The sequence below is a fragment of the Homo sapiens genome, chromosome 3, assembly GCF_000001405.40.
Source record: "Homo sapiens chromosome 3, GRCh38.p14 Primary Assembly".
In the NCBI taxonomy this organism is placed as follows: domain Eukaryota; kingdom Metazoa; phylum Chordata; class Mammalia; order Primates; family Hominidae; genus Homo; species Homo sapiens.
The window spans coordinates 16,122,632-16,133,580 of record NC_000003.12 but is presented as its reverse complement, the minus strand read 5'-3'; the positions used below and the strand labels follow the sequence as shown (position 1 = coordinate 16,133,580).

At 45.7% G+C, this 10,949-nt stretch overlaps 1 long non-coding RNA gene across 1 annotated transcript; it reads left to right on the top strand.

The window, feature by feature from the left end:
- Positions 1-3,123: 3,123 nt before the first annotated feature.
- Positions 3,124-6,614, top strand: LOC124906217 (uncharacterized). Its single transcript, XR_007095836.1, has 3 exons — positions 3,124-3,208; positions 5,612-5,821; positions 5,918-6,614. It is a non-coding gene; the product is annotated as an uncharacterized LOC124906217 (long non-coding RNA).
- The last annotated feature ends 4,335 nt before the right edge of the window (positions 6,615-10,949 follow it).

Sequence of the window (10,949 nt, the reverse complement as noted above, 5' to 3'; positions counted from 1 at the left end):
CAAGGCCTTCTGGCAAATTTGTCAGGTCATTGGTAAAATATCTCTTCAGGAGCCTCGTGATTATAAGGAAAGGGTCAGGCAATGAACACAGTCCTCCAAGTGAATAGAGAAGTGCTTCTATGGTAAATAAGCACAAGCCTGATCCCGACTCTGCTTCTCCCTTGCTGGGCAACTTTAGATAAATTGCATAACCTCTTCCAAGGCTCAGTGCCCTCGTTCTGTATGAAGAAGGGGTTGTAGTAGACGCTGTTTGAGTTCCCTTCCAGCCCTGATATATTATGATTTCCAGGGCCCCCATATTTCTGAATTAACTGAAAACTCCCCTCTTGCTCACCACCCTTGATGGTTATGTTGAAATGCCTGTCATCTGTGTGTTAAGCTGGGAGAGGAGCTCTCTACTGTGTGCCAAGAAAGAGCTCTCGCGCCTCTTCCAGGGCCATATGTGGCCAGGATCCCCTGGGAAAGCAAAAGCACATATCGTTGCCAAAGAGTCTAACTTTGTAACTCAGAATTTGCCATCTGCTAAACAGCTTTTAATTGAAGCTCCAAGAGGCAGAAGCTGGCTGGAAAAATCTTGCAAGCAGATCCAATAGGATTATCTTCCCTAAAAGAGGTTTTTCTATGTTTAATTAGTTGGAAGCCATTTTGTCACTGACAGATTATTTAGATGTCAGTCCTTTTGGTGCCCTATTCTCACCCCTCACCCCCATGTTTGAGCCTCACAGATTTTTTTTTTTGTTTTTGACAGAGTCTTGCTCTGTCGCCCAGGCTAGAGTGCAATGGTGCGATCTTGGCTCACTGCAACCTCTGCCTCCCGGGTTCAAGCAGTTCTCCTGCTTTAGTCTAACAAGTAGCTGGGATTACAGGCGTGAGCCACCGTGCCCGGTCTCACAGATTCTTTAGTTAGTACCAGCTTCTGATTCTTTTTTTTTTTGGAGGCTATACTGCCCATCCTCAGGCATCCAGTGTTCTCAAAGCCCTTTCTTCACCACTCAGAATACAGGTGAGCTATTTCAACCTGGATGGAGAAGCCAAGTATAACCAGTTCTCAATTTTTGGTGCCTGAGCTCATTACCACGCACTCAGGAGCCACAAATTCATGGTCCTTTAACCTACACCAAGAATCATCAGGCAGGCCTGGGCCTGAAAGGCAGCACCAATCGAGGGAAAGCCCAGTCATTCCAGGGGCAGCGTGTTAACCCTTTGCGCTCAGGGCCTTTCCATAGCCCAGACCGGCTCCATCTGCTGCTGGCAGGAGATGAGTGAAGGAGTAAGTCCCCAGAGTCAGGAGCCTCCTCCAGTTAGGGGCTTGGACTGCTGCATTTCCTTGTCTTTTTTCACGGGGCACATTGTGAGATTCTGGTATAGCCGCAAATGGTTACAGTCAGGAAGTGGCAACTTGGTATGGGAACCAAGGTCAGATGTGGCTGCAGCAAATGAAGATGCTGTTCATAGTGCTTCTTGGCTTGCAACTGGGTAAAATACTCAATATCAACCTGCAAATCAGTAACATTATCTTTATTTTAATGTTTTTATTATAGAAATTACCTTCATGTTAACCTTTTTATTATAGAAAATTTCATAACATAAAAATGGAAAGAAGAGTTAATGAATCCCTATGTGCCCATCACCCAGTTTCAACAGTTATCTACTCAAGGCCAACCTTGTTTCACCTGTATCCTCACCAATCCCCTGCTCCAACTCTCCATATTATGTCCTCACATTTTATAGTTGAGGAAACCAAGGTGCAATATAAATGAAAAAGAATGAACGGAGTCAGTTATTGTCAATAGATGAGGGTGGGGTAAAGGTGGAAAGCAGGGGATGAAGGAAGTGTATCACGTTCTTTGGGTTGGCATGTATATATTTTGGAAAATGCAAGGTCAATAATACACTCTTTTTTTTTTTTTTTTTTTTTTGAGACAGAGTCTTGCTCTTTCCCCAGGCTGGAGTGCAATGGTGCAATCTCGGCTCACTGCAAGCTCCACCTCCCAGGTTCAAGCCATCCTCCTGCCTCAGCCTCCTGAGTAGCTGGGACTACAGGTGTGCGCCACCACGTCCAGCTAATTATTTGTATTTTTAGTAGAGATGGGGTTTCACCATGTTGGCTAGGATGGTCTTGATTTCTTGACTTCCTGATCAACCCGCCTCGGCCTCCCAGAGTGCTGGGATTACAGGCCGTGAGCCACCAAGCCAAGCCAATAATACACTGTTACATAATTTTTGTTTGGAACATAAAAAAAATACCTATTGTTTTCATAATATAATTTACAGAAGGCAAAGCTGGACAAAAGCTTTCTCAAACCACTGGTGGGGATTACATCAAAAGCTCTGAGCCTGTGAGATTTTTATATTTGTCAGAAAGAGGCCATGGGTTAGAATAGGTTATAAATATAGGATTAGAATATGTCCAAGGTTCCTTTCCTCTTTGACACCCCAGGTCAACCATAACCCTAAATTGGAGGCCATGGCTATTTCCCTTTACAGCATCTAGTACTGTTCTGTGTAAGCAGGAGGCTTCAATAAATGCCTCAGAGAGGTGGACTTCCTTGCAGTTGCAGTTAATGTGTGAACTAATGGGAGACCTAGAGGAAATTGCTCGAAAACATCTTAGATATGGCATTTCCAAATTTTAAAAAAAGACTTTGAGCAAGCCCCATAATTTTCAAACTCTGTTCCTTAGGACCTTATAGATGCATGAGGGGTTTGGCAAACATTGACATGTACCATTCAACCTTGGAAGAATTAAACTTCCTGAGGAAAGCCTTTATTGCATTGATTTTATTTTGGGGTTTTGCTGGAAAACTTCAGTAGAATTTTTTAAAAAGAGCTCTGCTGCTGAAAAATCACTGACAATAGCCTCCTTCCACAGGAGAGGAGCTGATAGTGCAGAGAGGGTGTGACTGGTTCAAGTTCATACAATAGATTAGTGGAACTGATGGGACCAGAGACTCGGTATCCTGGGATCTGTGGACAGTTGACATGGTTATTGGATTGGGAGCTGCAGGAAGTGCCCAACATGGGAAGAAAAACCCTTTAGAATGAAAGGGCTGTCCACACAAGTTCTCTTGCTCTCCCAATCCCAGGTTGGGCTCAGCAAACAACTTTCCAGCTGTTGGTTCTGTAAGGGTTTCAGTGAGCAAGACGCACTGTGGTCCAGGAAAATCGAGCACCAGGGGCCTCTGGGCTGCAGGCCAAGGAACACTCGGTATGTTGTGCCACCCAGCTTCAGCCACTAAACAGTCCTGTCTCCACCAACTAACAGCCTAGAAGGGAAACTGTGGACAGATCACACCATTAATGAACAGTAGGGGAACTTTGGGAAGATTCCTGCAGAGGAAGTCATTGTTCAGGGACATGGCAACATGATCAGAGTACAAGCTGTGGAATTCTTCTCTGATGAGCTAGGGAACCCTTGAACCATGGCCCTCATAGTACTCTGGTTGCTTAGCTAAGTCCATGCCAGAGATTGCAAACGAGTGGTCAGTAGGCTGAATACTATTTCCAGAGATGTTTTGTTTCACTTCAGTGGTGTTTCAATACTTTTTAAGTAAGTCACCAACATTTTAAAATTGAGGGGTTTCACATTAAAAACTCCAGATTTCTGATGTCTCTTGAGAAAAAAGAGAGAAAGATCTAGCAACACTGAGCAGCACTAGCAAGACATTGTATCCCAGTCAGCTGGAAGTTGGAGCTTTAAACTGGGCATACATTCTGTCATTTGCTGCAGTCCCCACCAGCGTCGACTGCCTTACACCAGCTGCTGCTTCACTTGTTCAGTTTACCTCCTGGACCCTGTAGCAGTCTGGATTGGTGACCTAATACTCTCTGACAAAGAGTGTCAAACAATGACTCTCAAATATTAGCTCTGAACCCTCTATGGTGCCTACCTGAGGCCCTACCCCAGAGACCCCGATTCCTATGTATAAATGAGGTTCAGGATTTACATTTTAAACCAGCAGCCTAGAGGTTCTGATGCAGGTGGTTTTATGACCACAGTTTAAGACAAGCTACCATAGAATCAAGGCCCTGAATACTGGGTACACATTTGAATCAACAAAGTGAAATTTTACTCCATCTCCCTTATTACACACACACACATGCATGCACACACACATTTCCCTTTAACCATTCAAGTCGCTGAAGAAAATAGACATTTCACCCCTAAATGTTGCAGCACACCTCCCGTAAGAATATGGACATTCTCCTGCAGAACCACAAAGCATTATTAAGCCTGAGAAAGTCATAATTTCCTCATGACTAGATTCAGTCAAATATGTCCAGTAAGAACCTCACATAAATGATTTTGTGTGATGTTGTATACTTCCCATTGCATAAGATTAGGATGCAAAAAAAATGCAGAGGTTCACAAACTACAGCATGCACTTGGAGGGCTGGTTACAACCCAAGTTGCTGGGCCCTACTCCACAGTTTCTGATTTGGGAGGTGTGGAGTGAGACCTGAGATTTGCATTTCTCAGAAGTTTGCAGGTGATGCTGATGCAGTGGGTCCAGGGACCACACTTGGAGAACCACCCACACGATGGCAGGCCATCCCACCATTGGCAACAGATATTGGTATTTTTTAAAGCTCCACCAGGTGATTATTTGCAGCCAGCATTAAGATCCATTGCTAGTCTGGCCCCTCACTACTCAGATAAAGTCCTCGAGCCAGCAGCGTCAGCAACACCCGGGTGCCTTGTGAGGAAGGTAGAATCTCAGGCCCTACTCCAGACCTACCAAACCAGAATCAGCATTTTAGCAAAATCCACAAGTGGCTCGTGCTCGCATTCAGGTTTGAGAAGCACTTCTCTAGAGCACCCGGGAGCTTCTCTTACCTTTAACTGGGGCTTCCACTGGTCTGGTCTTCCCAAGACACCCCCGGCCACTGGTGGCCCTGTAAACATGGTGCCACCATGGATGAGTTGATGCCTGAGTATCGATGGGGGCAAGCCAGAGCGTCCTTCCTAAACGCTATCGAAGTCTCTGACATAGGTACAGCCTGGGGGTGATGGTGGGTGAGCTGCTGCTTAAGGGCCACAGCCCCGACCCTGGAGGGAGCAGGAAAAAAATGAAGCCTACCAGATTCACTCTGGGACCACTATCCCACCCCCAACTTCAGCCTTTCAAGATCTTTTTATTAATACCCACAATTACTCTGATGTGATTACATTACACATTGCATGTCTGTTTCAAAACATCACATGGACCCTATAAATATATACACTATTACGCACCCATAATAATGAAAAATAAAAAAAAAAATTTAAAGAAACCACTTGCTTTGGTCCCATCTATAATGTTAGTGCCTGATTTTACCTGCTCCTCTGGCTTCCAACTTGCTGCCTGCTCCTCACTCATGGCTTTGTTTAGTCTTGATATTTCTTGGTGGGTGGCGTTTTACTAAGTCCTAAGATATAAAGGTGACTAAAACAAATCCCCACTGTGAGGGAGTCGAGTTCCCTATTGCCTGACTGGCCACTCACCTGGCACTGTGAGGCCCCTTCTCAGCCTCAGTATCCCCATCGAGTGGCCTCACCTGTTCCTCGGCTCTGGACCTGCAGGGATGGGTTGGACATAGAGATCATCTGACCTCTTCTTTCTCTTTCCAGTTTGACTTTTAGAGACTGAGGCTGTCTGAGACCATTTACCAGCTATCACTGAACAGTGCCCTAAGCCTTGGGTGTCATGGAGGGAACAGATATGGCCCCTGGCCTTAGATTACCTACAACATGGTGTGGGAGATGGGGCACTTATGAAGAATGTGTTGTGAGATGTAATTTTTCAGAATGAGGAGAAATCCTTCCCACTAAGGGATTAAGGTAGGTTTCATGGAGGAGGTGGCATTTAGGAAGAGGCAGTGGACATCTTCAAGGTCAGATAAAACAATCAGGTGTCTTGGTTTTGCTTTGAGACAGGCCCAGGAGTTGCTGTGATTCAGGCCATGTGAATTGTTCCCCCACCTGCACACCCTGGGCATCAAGGAGAAGGCAATATCTTTGCTCACAAAGCATTTTGCAGGCCTGGGAAATGGAGCTTGGATTGTAAGGGGTCCGAACTACTTTAGCGCTGCAGTGGAAATAGCCTCCGCATGAGGGAGGAGAAGAATCAAGCGGGGAATGTGCCAGCTGAGGACTGGAAACCGCAGTCAGAAGAATGGATCTGCATTTTCCACTCCTGGCAGAGAACAGGCCTCAGTCAGGAATACAACCAGACGGCTGGGCCTGGGAGTCTCCGAAGCAAACCTGGAACTGAGTAAGTCATTATCCTGGGTGAAATTGAGTTTGAGGATGATCAGGAGAAGGGGACAGACAAAGAATCAGAAAGCGTGACAAAGGAGCTGTCTCCCCATCTCAAAGCATTAGACAAGGTAAAACTGTGATCACTAGTTTCATCATCGTCTGTTCACGCGGAGGCCCCTGTCTGCTGGGGTGGCCAGGGAGGGCTTCATGGAGGAGGAAAGTCTTGAAATTTGAGTTGGAACTTTCTGGATAGAGGAGAGGTTGTGAGAAGGTGGAGAACAGCACAGGACAGAGATGTGAGTATGCATTATGTCCCAGCAGCGATAAGACGAGGATGACCACCCGTGGCTGCCCATGTGCCAGCCCACGCCTCAGCCCAGGTGGGGCCTTCATGGTGAATTGCATTAATGGCCCCAGATCATCACCTCTCTCTGAATCCATGCCCTTTGTTATGCGACTGTAGTGACCTCCCAATCTGCCTGGATTCAGCTGTGTCAGCGGTGCTTTAGCCAATAGAAGGAGGCAGAAGGATGCTGTGCAATGAAGGATTAACTCAGCACACCTGGGTGGTCCAAACCTGCCCATTCCAAAGCAAGTTTTGGCCTGTGGCAGCCTGATAAGAATGTCATTGTTTACCTGGAGCCCGTGGGTCATGTCACATAGTCTACACTAAATGAGATTTATGGCGGGGGCTGTGAGCCACATAGTATTCAGGTGACCTCTGGAGAAGTTGGAAACTAAGGCCCACCACATGGGCAGTCAGCCATGCCTATGTGACCAGACCCCAATAAGAACCCTGGACACTAAGGTTGGAGTGAGCTTCCCTGGGTGGCCATGTTCCATGTATGTTGCCATACATCCTGGCTGGGAGAATTAAGCCCTGTCTGTGCAACTCCACTGGGAGAGGACAGCTGGAAGTTTGCACCTGCTGTCTCCTATGCACCTTTTCTCCATGGCTGATTTAATATGTATCATTTTCCTATAGTAAACTGTAACCATGAGTATAACAGCTTTGCTGCATTCTGTGAGTCCTTCCAGTGAATCAGTGAACTTACAGGTGGTCTTGGGGAACCTCTGAATGACAGATAGTATGACAATTCTGAGTCTAGGCTTCAAGAGGCCTTGAAAGCACTTCTGTTTGTTCTCTTGCACTTCTGTGATTGCCTTGAGAAAGGCACACTTGGGCTAGCCCATCAGTACAGGAAGGGAAAGAGAGATGTGTGGAGCAGGGCCACTTTCCAGATCCATCTTAGATCTGTCTAGCCCCAGCTGGTTGTGCATGAGTGAGCCCAGCAGAGACTAGCAGAGCCACACAGCTGAGCCCAACCTAGAGTCCCTGACCCCAAGCTGACCCGCATACTCATGAGAAATAATATATAGTTGTTGAAATTAAATTAGAAATAATACAAGTCAGTGAACTTTAAAACAGTAGGTCATCAGTAGTAGAAATGATAAACCCCCAAAGCACAGTGGTGGTCCCAGCCTTGCTCTAACTGATATGAGGACCTCAGAGAGCCTCAGCAAGCTAGTTACTCTGAGGGTCTCTGCATCCTCAGCTTCCAAGTCAGGATAGAGTTACAAATGAGCCACCCATGTAGTTTCATTCATGCAAATTGCAAGTTGATCCGTTTCTCCAAAGGATGCACGGGTGTCAGTATGGAAGGCCTTGTGGACATTTTTGTGGGAAGGGGCATGGAAGAGTGAAGAAGGGATATGGTCTGAAAGCAGGGTTGAGCAAGAGGGAGAAAAAGTGGGCCCCAGAGAGGAGGGTAAATATGAAGAGGACTACATGGAGAGAGAAGTAGGGAAGCACCTCGAGAGTATTTTTTCTAACCTCCTGACCTGGGATCTTCCAACAGGTATATACACCCTCACACCAGCAGGTACCTTCCAAAATGCTGCAGACTCCCCAGACCACAGTCCTGCTCTTGGATACACCATTGGCCTTTTGGAGTTCACCACAGTTCTGAATACTCGGGCTCTAACTCTGTACCCTCCCAAGGTCAAGAATTGCCTCATTCTTTAGATCTATCCACTCCCAGTTTCCCTGGGGTCTCCCCACTACTTGATGGAAGCCTAGCTTCCAGGGCTTTCCCAGGCTGATGGCCTCTACCCCAGGACTCTCCTGACCACCTGCGGTAGACTAGATTACTGTTAAACAAATATTCACTCCTTTTATCCCCTCCCTGGAGGAGGGATATCCCCAGACACATTCATGTTGGGCTTGTTCTTGTGACTGCTTAGCCAATGAAATGTGAGTGGAAGTGAAAATATGCTCACTCCAGGCCTACATTTTCAGGGCCATCATATTTCTGCCTCCCCCTCCAAGAGACTCTAACCTCCATCATTAGACAATTATGCTCCAGGTCACCACTGCCCCAAATCTTGGGTCAAGAATGAGAGATGCAGAGAAAATATGAACTTGAGCCTCAGCTTGAAGCAGAGCTGCCTTGGTCAACCCACAGGCATTAAAACAAGATTTAAGTAGTTTGTCATGCAGCATATTGTAGTGGTTGCTGACTAACATACCACTCATGAGGGGAGAGCCAATATCTTGCTGAAGTGAGATCACTATTACGACATTAGCTACCACAAATCACTAACAAAGGAAAATTTGTTGTATTCAGAGACACTTACATAAATCCATTCTAAGGATCAACATTTTCGGGCAAGAATGAATCACATTTGGCTATTATTTGCTTATAAGAATTGGAGAAAGGATGTTAACCCACGAATGCTCTGGAAGAAAACCCAAGTGAGAACTGTTCTACTATCACCAATCCAAGGAAAGATCAAGAATGCAAAGTGTCACTATTGCCTCAGGGAAAGAAACTAGCACACAAGCAAATTATATCCCCTGCCTATCTTCCACTTGGCTGCTTTGATAAAGAAAAAGGACACAAGTTTTGGAGTTAGAGGGGAGCTGACTTGGTGCCCTGCTACAAAATGTATTTACAAAAACAGACTTTGCAGAGCTGATATGATGGGTGTCTTGAAGATTGTGATGGTCTGCAACGGAGAGGGGCTGTACTTGTCTTCAAGGGCTGCCACAACAAAGTATTCCAGACTGGGTGACTTCAACAACAGACATTTATTTTCTTGCTTTTCTGGAAGCTAGACATCTTAGATGAAGGTCTCGGCAGAGCTGGTTTCTTCTGAGGCTTCTCTCCCTGGTTTGCCATGGCTGTCTTCCGCATGTGTCTTCATGTGTTCTTCCCTCTAGGCCTGTCTCTGCCTTCATCTCTTCTTTGACATCAGTCAAATTGGAGTGGGGCCCACCCCAGTGACCTCATTTAACCTTAATTACCCCTTTAAAGACCCCCATCTCCAAATACAGTCATCTTCTGAAGCTAAAGCGCTGGGAGTTAGGAATTCAAAACATGAATTTTGTGGGGACACAATTCAGCCCATGATAAGGGTGGAAATCACAGAGAGTCAGATCAACATTAGGAAGAATTCTCTAACCAGAAACATCAAGTGCTGCAAAAGTAGAGAAGCAGGTCCCTGTTACAGGAGCTATTTCAGCTATTTCTGTGCATATTGCATGACCTCTTTAGCAAGGATTTTTTTTTTTTTTTTTTGAGACAGGGTCTCACTCTGTTGCCCAGGCTGGAGTGCAGTGGTGTAATCACGGCTCACTGCAGCCTCAACTCCTGGGTTCAAGCCATCCTTCTGCCTCAGTATCTTGAGTAGCTAGGACTACAGGTGCATACCAACATGCCCAACCAGTTTTTGTATTTTTTGTAGAGATGGGATCTCACTATGTTGCCCAAGCTGAGGTCTCTAACTCCTGGCCTCAAGCGATCCTCCTACCTTGGCCTCCCAAAGTGCTGGGATTACAGGTGTGAGCCACCACACCTAGCCTGTTTCTTTCATTGGTTCAATAAAGATGCCTGTAGAGCTTACCATATGCTCAGTGCTATGCTAGGTGTTGAATAGGGAACAAAGCATTTATAGTATCTTCCCTCCTGCAGCTTTAAGTCTAGTGCGGCATTTAGGTGTTATACAAGTAAACACATAAATGAACATATAATGGCAAATTGCAGCAAGGGCATTGAGAGTATAAGGGGCTCATTTCATTGGATAGCTAGGGAGGACATAACAGACAACATTTGTTGCTAACACAACCCTGATTATTTCAAGTACCTAGGGATCCTTTTGTCTTGGAGAGTACAGGCCTTTACCCAGCTCAAGGGATGACTTGAAGTTGTTCTAAGCAGTCTTTGAATTCTTATTTCCCTTGACCAGTGATTGGTTGTGGAGAGGCCATGTAATCTATTTCTGGCCAATAAAATGAAAGCCAAAGTCTGTTAATTAGACCTTCCTAAAATATTTTGGTTTTCTGATAAAAAAAAATAGACCTAGTTGTAACAGCCCTTGTTCTTTATCCTTTCTTCTTTGTCCTTTCCTCTTCTTCCAGACTGAAGTGTAGAGGTGATGCCTGGAGGCATGGCAGCTGTCTTGCAACCACGAGGCAGCATGCCAAGTACTGTAAGGACAGAGGGATGGAAAGACAGGAAAAGCCTGGTTCTTGACAACATCGTCAAGCTGTGGCTCAGCTTGCACTCTGTACCTCTGCCTACCTCTTAAGTTAGGAAAATAAACCCCACTTTTTTAAGCTTCAGAAGTTGAGTTTTCTCTCACTTGCAATCAAACACAGTCCCAGTTGATCAGTCCAATAGGACTCACTGAGGGAGTAACATTTGCC